The sequence below is a fragment of the Homo sapiens genome, chromosome 7, assembly GCF_000001405.40.
Source record: "Homo sapiens chromosome 7, GRCh38.p14 Primary Assembly".
Classification (NCBI taxonomy): Eukaryota; Metazoa; Chordata; class Mammalia; order Primates; family Hominidae; genus Homo; species Homo sapiens.
Window position 1 is genome coordinate 140,582,049 of NC_000007.14, and position 14,898 is coordinate 140,596,946.

Below are 14,898 nucleotides of genomic sequence, written 5' to 3' on the forward strand. Positions count from 1 at the left end.
CTGCCCCCCAGGTTCAAGTGATTCTCCTGCCTCTGCCTCCCGAGTAGCTGGGATTACAGGCACCCGCCACCACACCTGGCTAATTTTTGTATTTTTAGTAGAGATGGGGTTTCACCATGTTGGCCAGGCTGGTCTCAAACTCCTGACCTCAGGTGATCCACCCGCCTTGGCCTCCCAAAGTGCTAGGATTACAGGCAGGAGCCACCGCGCTTGGCCTGGGCAGATGTTTTTCATTGTTCCTCAGGGGTGAGGCAGTTCACTCCCCGCATGAAGTGGGGAGCCAGGTAGGACCCAGAGGGGACAGACCAGGTGTGACAGCTTGCTTTCTTCTTCTAAGTCAGGCTTCTCTGCCATGGGAAATGAAGGATTTCCTAAATGTTGAAGACATCCCTATTCCAATGAAAACACCAACAACACATTTCCAAGGCAAGCAGAGAGCATTTGCTAATTGTCAGTTGCCATGGATTATTCTTGATGACACCCTTTTCCATATGAGAAGAGAAATGACAGTTAACTGGTGCAGGCAAGTATTGTAGCAATTTATCTGGGTCTGTAAGATCCATCCTTTGGGATAGGTTGTTCCCTCACCTCTTCCAGAAGCCTGGTGGCAGGCAGCATCCCTTTATGGCCATCAAGCACAGGAGACAGGCTTCAGGTGGAGACAGCCCCACCTGCCAGCGATGCTGACCCTGTGGGGCTGGGACAGGAAGACCACTGCTTTTCCTAGGCTGGAAACAGAGCCTTGCCATGAGATTTAAGTTGACCTTTGCAGCTGGTACTTGGCCTTCCTTAATTTCTTCCACTAAATATTGTAGAACTGTTAGGCCTTCCAGGAAAACCAAAGAAATAGAATATATACATTTTTCTTTCTTTCTTTCTTTTAACTTAGGTTTAGAATATAAACCTTTTGACCTTGAGGAATTTATAATCTAGTTGGGGAGATGTTTTTAAGATATATTAAGGCTGGGCATGGTGGCTCACGCCTGTAATCTCAACACTTTGGGAGGCTGAGGCGGGTAGATCATGAGGTCAGGAGATCGAGACCATCCTGGCTAACACGGTGAAACCCCATCTCTACTAAAAAAAAAATACAAAAAATTAGCCGGCCATGGTGATGGCCCAGCTACTCGGGAGGCTGTAGTCCCAGCTACCTGGGAGGCTGAGGCAGGAGAATGGCGTGAACCCGGGAGGTGGAGCTTGCAGTGAGCCGAGATCGGGCCACTTCACTCCAGCCTGGGCGACAGTACGAGACTCTGTCTCAAACAAACAAACAAACAAGCAAACAAAAATAACAAAAAAAGAAATGGTTTAACTGAGTGTTACAGATAATCAGAGAGAAAGAAGTCCCAGGGATTGGGATGGCTGGAGACGCTTCTTAAAGGACGCATGATTGAACTGGGCCTCAGAGGATGGGGAGAGGTCCCGGTAAGAGCCAAGGGCAGAGTTAAAAATGACCTCGCTGGTTGGCACCTGTGGGCCACATCTGGCCCACCACCTGTTTTTGTACAAGCCATGACTTAAGAATTAACTTTTACATTTTTAAATGGTTGGAAAAATAAATATTTCATGACAAGTGACAATCATATAAAAGTCAAATTTCGCCGGGCGCGGTGGCTCACGCCTGCAACCCCAGCACTTTGGGAGGCCAAGGCGGGCAGATCACAAGGTCAGGAGATCGAGACCATCCTGTGAATGGTGAAACCCCGTCTCTACTAAAAATACAAAAAATTAGCCAGGCGTGGTGGCGGGCGCCTGTAGTCCCAGCTACTCGGGAGGCTGAGGCCGGAGAATGGCGTAAACCTGGGAGGTGGAGCTTGCAGTGAGCCAAGATCGTGCCACTGCACTCCAGCCTGGGCGACAGAGCAAGACTCCGTCTCGAAAAAAAAAAAAAAAGTCAAATTTCAGCATTCAGGTCAGGTGCGGTGGCTCACGCCTGTAATCCTAGCACTTTGGGAGGCCAAGGCGGGCGGATCACTTGAGGTCAGGAGTTTGAGACCAGCCTGGCCAACATGGTGAAACCCCATCTCTACTAAAAGTACAAAAATTAGCCAGGCGTGGAGGCGCATGCCTGTAATCCCAGCTACTTGGGAGGCTAAGGCAGGAGAATTGCTTGAACCCGGGAGGTGGAGCTTGCATTGAGCCGAGACTGTGCCACTGCACTCCAGCCTGGGAGACAGAGCAAGACTCCGTCTCAAAAAACAAAAACAAAAAACAACAACAACAAAGGTTGATTGAAATACAGCCACACTCATTTATTTACGCATTGTCTATGACTGCCTCACACTACAGTGGCCACTCTCAGTAGTTACAACAGAGACCATATGGCCCACACAGCCCCAAATATTTACTCTATGGCCCTTTAGAGAGAGTGCGCATGTCCCAGGCCTGCATCAGAGGGGTAGTTGGTAGGCTCTGGATGGAAGGGGCATTTGTATGTAGGATCTATGGGAGATTAGGGGTAATGGGTGCCAAGATATCTGTTACAAATGCTAGTCCTGCAGGCAATGGGTTGAAATTACCATCTATATCAATAAGGTTATATTATCTATGTGCATATGGTATGTAACTCCAGAAAGTTCAAAAGGATATTCTGTAAAAAGAAGGTCAGCCTTCCCCCTGCCCTCTGGGCATTCAGACAGGACAACTCCTCTGAGGTCCTCAGTTACTCATGCTTGGGTATCCGCACAGAGATTTTTTTTTCACCTCCAACATTGGGGATGGAGATATTCTTACACATACATGTGTAAGTTTACATATATGTATATTCTTTCATCTTTATATATATGCATGTTATTTCATTTAAAAAAACCCACATATAGACATGTGCGAGTTTACATGTATGTATATTCTTTCATTAAAAAACCCACAGGCTGGGTGCGGTGGCTCATGCCTGTAATCCCAGCACTTTGGGAGGCCAAGGCAGCTGGATCACTTGAGCCTAGGAGTTCAAGATTAGCATGGCCAACATGGTGAAACCCCGTCTCTACAAAAAATACAAAAATTAGCTGGGCTGGTGGCGTGTGCCTGTAATCCCAGGTACTTAGAAGGCTGAGGTGGGAGGATTGACTGAGTCCAGGAGTTCAAGGCTGCAGTGCGCCGTGATTGCACCACTGCACTCCTGCCTGGGTGACAGAGCGACAACACCCTGACTCAATTAAATCAACAACAACAACCCACAAATGGCAAAATACTTTAAAACTACTGTTCTACATCATGCCTTTCCGTCTTGTATCTTAGAGTATGCTCTATGTTAAGACATTCTTAACAGTTGTATGGGACGGATGTACCATCTTTTATTTACCCAGTTTGAGGAGGTTTCTGAGCCAGAATCTCAATCGTATTTTAGGAAGCTTTTTTGAGCAGAGGGGCTCCAAGAGAACTAGAGGGAGGAAGACCAGTCAGCCAGCGTTGTACAAATCCAGGAGCCCGGCAGGGCAGGTGGAGGTGGCCTGGAATTCCAGTGCTGGCCGGAACTCCAGAGTGCTCAAGGCCACCATGCTTTGGCCCCCTCTCCTGCCACCATTCCCAGGGGACTCATACCTTGGTGAGTGTGTCAGGGATGGAAGAGGTGGGAGAAGCAGGAAAATTCAAGACACACTTCTTTCCCAGGCAGCGACCATGTAACTCGATGTCCTCATAAGGGTTCTCCTTCATTGGCGGATCTGTGTTCAAAGGCAATGTGTCAGGAACCTGGGAACACTGAGGACATTTCCCTTTTCAAAACACTGAGGTCAGTATCTTGGCCTCTCCTGTGTCCATTCTTGTAGGCATATCTGCTGTTTTGCCATCCATGCGCCCCTCCTGTTGGCAGCAGTCTCTGATTTCACTGGGTTACCTCTCCATCTCCTCATTTGTGGCCATGGGAGATTAACTCCATTCTCAGTTTCAGCGCTTTAGCCAATCTAGGTATCCCAAATCCCTGCCTCAGTGATCAGTTCAGGGAAGGGCTCATATTCTAAGCCTAAGTGATATCACTGCATGGCATTCCCCGGCTCTAAAGGTGAACAAATGACCTTGGCTGGTCTAATGAGGGTGAACCTCAGGATTTCTGCTGGGACTTGCAGGATACCAGCTCTTCTCTCCACCAAGAAGATATGGATTCCAGGAAGCTGGTGGCAGCCATTGTGGGGACGCTGGGAAGCCTGCTGAGAATAAAGCTAACCTGAGAGGTAAGAAATGGAGGAAGGGGGCTGGGTGCGGTGGCTCACACCTGTAATCCCAGGACTTTGGGAGGCCGAAGGGGGTGGATCACTTGAGCCCAGGAGTTTGAGACTAGCCTGGGCAATGTGGGAAAACCCCGTCCCTCCTAAAAAAGAAAACACACACACACACACACACACACACACACACACACACACAAATTAACTGAGTGTGGTGGTGGGCGCCTATAATCCCAGCTACTTGGGAGGCTGAGGCAGGAGAATTGCATGAACCTGGGAGGCGGAGGCTGCAGTGAGTTGAGACTGTGCCGTTGAACTCCTGGGTAACAGAGTGAGACTCCTGTCTCAAAAAATAAAAAATAAAAAAGAAAGAAAGAAAAGAAATGGAGGAAGGAAAAGCTAGTTTAGTTGGGTTTTCTGTTCCTTGTAACTGAAAGCATCCTCTTGGGCAGTCACTGCTAAGAGAAGTCCAGATCTCGCTCCCATTTTAGATCTGGGAATCCCGCTGCTTTGGCAGGAGCCCATCTCCAGCAGCCTGGACACAGATGCAATTCCAATTGCTTAGCTAAGCATCTGCCTTCCTCAAATTTTCTATTTCCTCCTTCTGTAAGTTTTTTCTAGTATTGATGATTACATGCCAGCATGTCTGCATATATCCACCCTACCTGCCCCTCACCAGCACACACATATGGGTTTCTCCCTTTTATCAGCTTGTTTCTTCCCCCACCTTTCACCCGCACCGTAAGCAGTTGGAGCTCGCCCTTCACTAAAACCATCAACCTCCCTGAAGATGACTGAACTCACCAAACTCTGAATCTGAGACCCACTCTGAAATCTCAGAGGACGCTTTAGAGCCAAAGTTACTTTTTAAATCACATTTAGTCTGTGTTCTGATGCCCTGTTAGTGCCACACTCTGACAGTTTCTGAAGGAGGCTCTGTTGTGTAGTGTTTTCTTTCATTCAGTAATCCCTGCAGTTGACTGAGCATCTGTCATATGTGAGGTAGTTGACACAACATTCTCTCCAGTCCTTAACCTTGCAAGGGAGCTAGCTTCATCCTCATTATGCAGATGGGAGAACTCAGTTCAGAGACGTGAAGTCACTGGCTCAATGTCCTGCGGCCAACAGGCAGCAGAACCAAGATGTGGTTCTGGATCTTCAGACTCCAGGCCCCACGCTTCTCGCTATGCCACGCTGCCACACTGCCTCCTTGGCCACTCATTACCAGCTAGTCTTCCCCCTCCAGCCCTAGGGTCTGTCATATATCCCACAAGGCTCACTCTCCCACCCCACCTGCCTGCTTTTTCATCCGAGTGCACAGGTGTCTTCAAGTGTGTGTGTGTGTACATGTGTGTGCACGTGTGTTTCCAGCAGCCAGCCCCATTCTCCCTCCCCTTTCTCCCAGACAGACTCAGATCCGCACACAGACGCTGTGGCTTCTTACCTAGAATGTCTTCATAGACGTTCTCCTCCGATAAAGTGCGTGTCAGCCCCAGCTTAGTCTGCGCGTACCAGTCCACCCTGCTGCTCTCAGAGGAAGACTGCAGTAAATCTTCAAACTCATAGGACTTTCTGGAATGTGCCAGATGGGAGGAAAAAACAAAGAATTTGAATCAAATTAGGCTGTTTCAGAGAATATATTAATATATCCCCTCGGCCAAATTTTCTTTTTCTTAGAAAAATTGTTACCGAAATCAACTTTTATTTTATTTCATTTTTTGAGACAAAGTCTTGCTCCGTTGCCCAGGCTGGAGGGCAGCGGCGCCATCTTGGCTCACTGCAACCTGCGCTTCCTGGGTTCAAGCAATTCTTCTGCCTCAGCCTCCAGAGAAGCTGGGACTATAGGCATGCACCACCATGCCTGGCTAGTTTTTGTATTTTTAGTAGAGACAAAGTTTCACTGTGTTGGCCAGGCTGGTCTCGAACTCCTGACCTCAGGTGATCTGCCTGTCTTGGCCTCCAAAAGTGCTGGGATTATACACTGTGCCCGGCCTGAAATCAACTTCTGTTATTGTAAAAGGTGTGAAAATCCATGAATAAGAGATGTGGCTTTTATGTGCAAGAATGTTCATGCTATTATGCTAAGTGAAAATAATAAAGTATATGTAAAAAAATAAAATCCCAACTTTGTAAACAAACATAGACGTAGAAAATAGAAAAGGGGGCCGGGAGCAGTGGCTCACTAGTATAGACAGGGACTGTCTATACTATTTTACAAATCAGGACACGAAGTTTCAGCCCATTTATGTAGTTCATCCAAGTCTAAAAGGCTTGTGACTAAGGATATGGAACAGTCCTTATTATAGTACAGATAGTCCCTGACTGTCTTATTACAGTATAGACAGTCCCTGACTGTGTATACTATAGATACACAGCAACACGCCCTGCTAATTTTTGTACCTTTTTGTAGAACGGGGTTTTGTCATGCTGCCCAGGTTGGTTTCAAACTCCTGACCTCAAGTGATCCTCCTGCCTGGGCCTCCCAAAGTGCTGGGATTACAGGTGGGAGCCACCGTGCCCAACCCAAAATTACTATTCTTATCCACTTTTTTTGGCACTTTTTTTTTTTTTTTTTGAGACCTGGAGTGCAGTGGCATGATCTTGGATCACTGCAACCTCTGCCTCCTGGGTTCAAGCGATTCTCCTGCCTCAGCCTCCCGAGGAGCTGGGATTACATGCATGTATCACCATGTCTGGCTAATTTTTGTATTTTTAGTAGAGACAAGGTTTCACCATGTTGGCCAGGCTGGTCTCGAACTCCTGACCCCAGGTGATCTGCCTGCCTCAGCCTCCCAAAGTGCTAACATTACAGGCGTGAGCCACTGTGCCCGGCCTCTTATACACATTTTATTTATCAGAAGACAGAGGCATAGAGGGGTTAGATAAATTGCTCCAGGTATATTGGGAAAAGGTGGTGGAATTAGGGTCTGACCGCAGGAAGTCTGGTTGGAGACTGATGCTTTTAATGACACAGGGCATTATGGAGAGCATTTATTTAAGTGAGGCATGTCAGGAGGGAAGCTGCATTCACAGGCTCCAAACTAAAACAGGCTGAATTTCAACAGTTTGCTGTTGGGAACCTGAACTAATTTTCCATACAAAACTGCATTACACAGTGATAATTACATTGCTGCATTACACAGTACTGTGCGATACCCAGGCAGACCCTCTGTTTCCCTCAAGTAGTAAGTAATCTATGCTATGAGGAGATGCTATGAACCCTTACAGGGAAAAGGGGGACAGGAAGGGGTCATTTCACTGGAAGCCAGGCAGTTTCTCCCACTCTCAGGGCCAGGGTAGTAACCACCACCTACAGGTAAAGCCTTGACTGCCTAGAATTACAGCACGACCCTGGCTGAGTTTGGCCTTTTCTTTGAGAGAGAGAAAGGGGCTGTAGCTGTGCCTTGCTTTGCCATGGCGAGAGCTCTATTTATTTTTAGAAACAGGTTCTCCCTCTGTTGCCCAGGCTGGAGTGCAGTGGTGCCACCACAGCTCACCGCACCTCAAATTCCTGGGCTCAGGCAATCCTTGTCCTTCAGCCTCCGGAGTAGCTGAGACTGCAGTTGCATGCCACCATGGCTGGCTAAGTTTTAATTTTTTGTAGAAATGGAGGTCTTGCTTTGCTGCCCAGGCTGGTCTCAAACTTCTGGGCTCAAGCGATCCTCCTGTCTCAGCCTCCCTGTTGTCTGGGATTATAGTTCTGTTTTTATTTTTTAAAATCTCATTGGAAACAATATTTGTATAGGTCAAATTTCGAAATGATAAAGTACCTATGAAATAACATCTGAATCTTTAAAATGTTTTCATAATAACTGCCCTAACAACAGAAGATATTTGTATGGTTAAAGGCTCTCCAAATCTCAGCGGATGACTCGCTTATTTAAAGCACATGTAATGCAGGCCGGGCGCGGTGGCTCATGTCTGTAATTCCAGCACTTTGGGAGGCCGAGGCGGGCGGATCACTTGAGGTTGGGGGTTCGTGACCAGCCTGGCCAACATGGTGAAACCTTGTCTCTACTGAAAATACAAAAATTAGCTGGGCATGGTGGTGTGCACCTGTAATCTCAGCTACTCGGGAGGCTGAGGCAGGAGAATCGCTTGAACCGGGGAGGTGGAAGTTGCAGTGAGCTGAGATTGCGCCACTGCACTCTAGCCTGGGCGACAGAGACTCTGTCTCAAAAAATACATACATACATAAAAATAGAGCACATGTAATGCAAGCGGGAATCCAGATTATGTGTTGGGGTTTGTTGGGATAGGATTAGCTTTTATCCCAGTGGTTACTGTCAGACACCTGGGATTTCAAGACATAGTTTGAATGTTTTGTATAATCCTTCTATATTTCCAAGAACAAGATGCTAATATAAGAGCTCAGGCCAGACACAGTGGCTCATGCCTGTAATCCCAGCACTTTGGGAGGCTGAGGCAGGAGGATTGCTTGAGGCCAGGAGTTCAAGGCCAGCCTGGGCAACAAAGTAAGATCCCATCTCTACAAAAACTAACAATTACAAAAATTAGCTGGGCATGGTGGCATGTGCCTGAAGTTCCAACTACTTGGAAGGCTGAAGTGGGAGGATCCCTTGAGCCTAGGAGGCACAGGTTGCAGTGAGCTGAGATCATGCCACTTGCACTCCAGCCTGGGTGAGAGAGTGAGATCTTGTTTCTGGGGAATAATAATAATAATAAAAAAAAGGTCAGCCATGCTTTACATTTGATTTCTGACACATAAAAGGTCACTAGTCTAAACAGCATTAGAAAAGTCCAATTTGAAAACAATTAAAAACTCCCTTTAAAAAAATGAAGATGGGGGTGGGCGCAGTAGCTCACACCTATAATCCTAGCACTTTGGGAGGCCGAAGCAGGTGGACTGCTTGAGCTCAGGAGTTTCAGACCAGCTGGGCAACAGAGCAAGACCCTGTCTCTATAAAAGATACAAAAATTAACTGGGTGTGGTGGGGCACACCTATAGCCCCAGTTACTTGGGAGGCTGAGGTGGGAGGATCCCTTGAGCCAGGGAGTCGGAGGATGCAGTGAGCCAAGATCAAGCCACTGCATTCCAGCCACTGCACTCTCACTCATTTTGAGACAGAGTGAGACCCTGTTTCAAAATAAAAGATGGTTATTCACGTTGCAAAACTAATTTGCAAAACGATTCATCAAAAGGTTTCTCAAATAGCAGCTCTATTTCCTGTATTAAAGGGTTAGTTTTCAGGTGACTAATTCCTATGCAGGAAGTCTGAAAGGCAAACAAATTAACATGAGGTACAGTCCATACAAGATCAAGGAGAAGCCAGAAATCTTTACATGCCCAGTTTCTAGAACTAGTAGGAAAGTAGGATTCCAATTATAACATTTGATCTATCATTGTCATGTGTTGGTAACACATGCCAAAGCATTTAGAAAGTTAGCTCTTCCTAGCAGTTCTTTATTTTCCCTCCCTTCCTTCCTTTCTTTCTTTCTTTCTCTTTCTTTCTTTCTTTCTTTCCTTCCTTCCTTCCTTCTTTCTCTCTCTTTCCTTTCCTTTCTCTCTCTCTTTTCTTTCTCTTTCCCTCCCTCCTTTTCTTTCCTTCCTTTCTTTCTTTTCTTTTCTTTCTTTCTTTTTCCTTCTCTTTCTTTCCCTCCCTCCCTCCCCTTCCTTCTTTCCTTCCTTCCCTTCCCTTTCCTTCCTTCCTTCTTTCTTTCTTTCTTTTTCTTCCTCTCTCTTTCTCCTCCCTTCCCTTCCCTCCCCTCCCCTCCCCCCTCCCTACTCCCCTCCCCTCCCCCTCCCCTCTCCCTCCTCTCCCCTCCCCTTCCCCTCTCCCTCCTCTCCCCTCCCCTCCCCTTCTTTTCTTCTTCTTTTTTTTTTTTTTGATGGAGTTTCGCTCTTGACGCCCAGGCTCTTGTCACCCAGGTGCAATCTCGGCTCGCTGCAGCCTCTGCCCTCTGGGTTCAAGCAATTCTCCTGCCTCAGCCTCCCGAGTAGCTGAGATTACAGGCGCCTGCCACCACATCTGGCTAATTTTTATTTTTTTTTTTTGAGACGGAGTCTCGCTCTGTCGCCCAGACTGGAGTGCAGTGGTGCGATCTTGGCTCACTGAAAGCTCCACCTCCTCGGTTCACACCATTCTCCTGCCTCAGGCTCTCGAGTAGCTGGGACTACAGGCGCCTGCCACCATGCCCAGCTATTTTTTAAAATTTTATTTTTAGTAGAGACTGGGTTTCACCGTGTTAGCCAGGATGGTTTTGATCTCCTGACGTTGTGATCTGCCCACCTCAGCCTCCCAAAGTGCTGGGATTACAGGTGAGAGCCACCACGCCCAGCTAATTTTTCGTTTTTAGTAGAGACAGGGTTTTGCCATGTTGGGCAAGCTGGTCTTGAACTCCTGACCTCAGGTGATCCGTGCCCTGCCCTTTTTTTTTTTCTTTTTTTGAGACAGAGTCTGGCTCTGTCGCCCAGGCCGGAAGGCAGTGGGGCGATCTCAGCTCACTGCAACCTCCGCCTCCAGGGTTCAAGCAATTCTCCTGCCTCAGCCTCCTGTGTAGCTGGGATTACAGGCACCTGCCACCATGCCTGGCTAATTTTTGTATTTTTTGTAGAGATAGGGGGGTTTCACCATGTTGGCCAGGCTGGTCTTGAACTCCTGGGCTCAAGCGACCCACCCACCTCAGCCCCCCAAAGTGCTGGGATTACAGGTGTGAGCCACCATGCCCGGACCACCTAGCATTATTTCTACAGCCTACATAAATGTCAGGGACATCAGTCCTCCCCTTCTGAGGTTTAGGTAGGTGATTAGGCTCCCTGAAGAGGAGAAATGTGATCACACCAATCCTTCAACTGCTAACCTAATTCTGTTCTCTACAAATATTTTTTTTAACTTGAAAGTTTTAGTACCTTCATTTACACATTAACTTTGAGAGAAAGGAAACTGTGAAAGGTTAATGAACGATAACCACATCCAAACAGGCTTCTCTCTAATTTAAACATTTTCAACATTCATTCCACATCCCGCCTGCAAGTTTAATAAGTAAACATGCGAGTCACATTGTGCTCAAAGTGGGTGATACAAAGGCGAGAGGTCCCTGCCTTTGGGGAGCCCACAGCCTGGGGAAGAGGTGTAACCTCCACTCAGCCTCACTTTACTTCCCAGGTCCTCAAATGATCGTTTGATATTTGGTGCTTCTGAGTTTCAGAGATGCTAGAATGAGCTGGTTGTTCCAAAGAACTTTGCTGAAGGGCGTTATAACCTATGTAATAGCCAAATTTCAACAACCAATGCCAAACACTGTGATTCTGAGTCGTATTTTGAATGTTCTTCATGACTTCTCCATATTTTTGTAAATGAAATGCTAACTTAGAGCTCCTCCCATTTGGACAATGCGGAAGAATCTCAAAGCTGAACTCGTAATCCTATTGCCTCTCTGATGAGAACCAACTCCTTGCCCAGTGTTGCCATCCAAAGGTTTAGGTCTGAAACCTGGAAATCAGACTCCTAGCCTCCCTCCCACTTACTGCCTACGTCTAACTAGTTAACCCAAGTTTTACCTCCAAAGCATCTCTTGAACCCACCCACTTCTCTCAGTCCCCGAGGCAGCTACACCACAGGGTAACCACAAGACCTCACTGTTTCTCCCCATCGCCTCACCGCACCTGCCCATTGGTGCCCACCCAGTCTCCAGGCTGCTGACAGGATGGTCTCTTAAACAAGCAAATCTTTTTTTTTTTTTTCTTTTTTCTGAGATGGAGTTTCACTCTTGTTGCCCAGGCTGGGGTTAAATGCTGTGATCTAGGCTTACTGCAACCTCTGCCTCCTGGATTCAGGCGATTCTCCTGCCTCAGCCTCCCAAGTAGCTGGGATTACAGGCACCCACCATCCATGCCTGACTAATTTTTTGTATATTTACCCGAAACGAGGTTTCACCATGTAGGCCAGGCTGGTCTCGAACTCCTGGCCACAGGTGATCCACCCCCTTCAGACTCCCAAAATGTTGGGATTACAAGCGTGAGCCACCGTGCCCGGCCTTAAACATGCAAATCTGATTATCTCTCTCCCCTTCTTAAAAATGTTCCTTTTTTCCATTGCCCTTAGGTAATAGGCCCAAATCCACACCTTGTGTATAGGTCCAGAAGACCTTCAGGCCTCACCCCAGACCCTTCCTGGCCCTCAGGCCACACTCCTGCCTTGCAGTTCCTCTGACATGATGCAGTCTTTCCTGTCTCAGGGCTTTCACCTATTAGTTCACTCAAACTGAACGTCCACTCCCCACCCTCCCGCTGGCCCGAGCGTCACTTCCTCTTGATCCCATCTGTTTCCCTGATAGGCTACACATCCCTGCTGAATGTTCCCATGGCACCAGGATTCCTCACAGCACTGACAGGAGTTATGATCACGACACCAGCTGTGTCCTTCCAACTATTACTGGTCTGCAAATCCCGTGAGGACAGAGTCTCCGTCTATCTCGCTCATTATTACATTCCTATGTCTAACACTCGATAGGTGCGTGGTAAATATTTGTTGGTTGAATAAGTGAATGAGTATTTTATTTTATTATTTATTTATTTTCGCTCTGTCGCCAGGCTGGAGTGCAATGGCGCATCTCAGCTCACTGCAACCTCTGCCTTCCGGTTCAAGCGATTCTCCTGCCTCAGCCTCTCAAGTAGCTGGGACTACAAGTGCGTGCCACCATGCCCAGCTAAATTTTGTATTTTTAGTAGAGATGGGGTTGCACCATGTTGGCCAGGAAGGTCTCGATCTCTTGACCTTGTCATCCGCCTGCCTCAGCCTCCCAAAGTGCTGGGATTACAGGCGTGAGCCACCTTGCTGGACCATTTTGTTTTTTGAGATGGAGTCTTGCTCTGTGCCCAGGCTAGAATGCAGTGGCAGGATTTCGGCTCATTGCAACCTCCACTTCCTGGATTCATGTGATTCTCCTGCCTCAGCCTCCCGAGGAGCTGGAATTGCAGGTGTGTGCCACCATGCCTGGCTAATTTTTGTGTTTTTAGTAGAGACAGAGTTTCCCCATGTTAGCCAGGCTGGTCTCAAACTCCTGACCTCAAGTGATCTGCCCACCTCGGCCTCCCAAAGTCCTGGGATTACAGGCATGAGCCACCATGCCTGGCCCCGTGAATGAATATTTTAAAAGCTGGTTTTAAGTGCTACATTTACTGTTTATAATTTATCCCTACTTCAAGATTTAAAAAAAAAAAGCAGCTGTATTATTGAGTTAATTTTTAGTAAATTGTTTTGAATCCATTTCCCCCAGGATTATTTTCCTCTATGGATTAAAAAAGCTTGGCTACAGGCCAGGTGTGGTGGCTCACGCCTATAATCCTAGCACTTTGGTAGGCTGAGGCAGGCAGATGGCTTGAGTCCAGGAGTTCAAGACCAGCCTGGGCAACATAGCAAAACCCTGCCTCTACAAAAAATACAAAAATTAGCTGGGTGTGGTGGCATGTGCCTGTGGTCGCAACTACTCCGGAGGCGGAGGCAGGAGAATCACTTGGCCCAGGAGGCGGAGGTTGCAGTGAGTTGAGATTGCACCACTGCACTCCGGCCTGGGAGACAGAGCAAGACCCTGTTTAAAAAAAAAAAAAGCTTGGCTAGCCTGGCACCTAGCGACCATTTAAAACATCATCCAGCTGGGTTAGAAATCAAGGATGCCACGCGCTGACTTCCATCCTCCTCCTCCAGCTGCCAGAGTCTTTCTGCCTGTCTCTCCTGAGTGGCCACGGCAGCTCTTCCCCATGGCTCGCCATACTCAGGAAGGGCTTTCCTACCACCAGGTGCTCAGGGCAGGCGGCTAGGCAGGAGGAGACTTCCGTTAGCTCTCAGCTTGCATTCTGTTATCGGGTAACTCCTCCACCGTGTACTAGGATCACTCACAGGGTTTCTGCTTTTCTCTATCCTGGATCTAAACCCTAAATGTCAGAAGGAAAAACTATTTCTGTCCCTCATTGTGGCTAATATCCAACGATTTCCACCTTTCAATGAGAAATGACATGAAAATCACTCTTGTAATGGACAACAGCAACCTTGGAAGAGCAAGCACCGTCTCTCTGTTTTCCAATGCAGCTTCTATTGAAATAAATGGCTTTACTAAATCAAGTTTCTCAGAAGCTTCCAGAGTAGCTTTTGCTCTAAACATCAACTTAATCAAACAATGCGCTCCTTTGAAGACTTGAAACATTCAGTTTTTAGACGTGGTAATTCCGAGTTGTCTCAGGGATGCCTTGCTGACTGAGATGGACCACAGCTTGGCTGGTAAGTTAATTTTAACTGTTAAACCTGTGAGAGCCGAGGGTTGCTGCCCAGCCAGAGAGCTGTGGGGATCCGTATCAGTCCCATAGAAGATGGAAATTATGGAATCAATAACAGCACAGTGTGATCTGGCAGCCATATAATGACTGAGGTTTCACGTCCTCAAGAAGTTCTGAAAGTCTTACACTAAAGCTCCAAGGAAAGGCCAAATCTATATGATGCCAAAATAATCAGCTGAAAAGTTGAAATTTTGGTCATTGCAGTTATTTGGTTTCATAAAGATCTACAAGCTGTCACATGACCAGGTTAAACTAAAATTTAAAAATCTGAATTCCAGTTAAGACATTTTGAGTATGTAGATACATGTGAATTCAGGATGGTGCTCACACTTAAAGAGTAGTAACTTTTCTTGTTAAATGTCGGCCTTAAGGCATTCTTGCCAGAGCTATTAAGTGTATGCCATAAAACACATATAACCAAGTTAATGTTGTTGTAGGAACCTT

At 47.1% G+C, this 14,898-nt stretch overlaps 1 protein-coding gene across 5 annotated transcripts in view, besides 3 other annotated features; it reads right to left on the bottom strand.

Moving 5' to 3' along the window:
* The window catches only part of DENND2A (DENN domain containing 2A), a 123,042-nt gene that overhangs the window by 63,630 nt on the left and 44,514 nt on the right, over window positions 1-14,898 (bottom strand). For all 5 annotated transcript variants that reach the window (NR_134477.1, NM_001318052.2, NM_015689.5 and 2 more), the window contains 2 exons: window positions 5,605-5,732; window positions 3,541-3,662 (listed from right to left, as the gene is read on the bottom strand). Coding sequence is in view for 4 of the 5 variants with exons in the window: in NM_001318052.2 (NP_001304981.1) it covers window positions 3,541-3,662; window positions 5,605-5,732 (250 nt within the window). In the remaining variant the exon portion in view is untranslated. The remainder of the gene's footprint in view (window positions 1-3,540; window positions 3,663-5,604; window positions 5,733-14,898) is intronic.
* Window positions 11,843-12,343: an enhancer, noted in NCBI's record as "H3K27ac hESC enhancer chr7:140293691-140294191 (GRCh37/hg19 assembly coordinates)". NCBI's record gives its function as "activates a minimal SCP1, AML or CMV promoter by ChIP-STARR-seq in naive H9 embryonic stem cells {active_cell/tissue: H9 hESC(naive)}" and the evidence as "EXISTENCE:reporter gene assay evidence [ECO:0000049][PMID:30033119]".
* Window positions 11,843-12,575: a biological region, named in NCBI's record as "Sharpr-MPRA regulatory region 5784".
* Window positions 12,281-12,575: an enhancer, noted in NCBI's record as "tiled region #5784; HepG2 Activating non-DNase unmatched - State 23:Low, and K562 Activating DNase matched - State 20:ReprD". NCBI's record gives its function as "activates a minimal TATA promoter and a strong SV40 promoter by Sharpr-MPRA in HepG2 and K562 cells {active_cell/tissue: HepG2 | K562}" and the evidence as "EXISTENCE:reporter gene assay evidence [ECO:0000049][PMID:27701403]".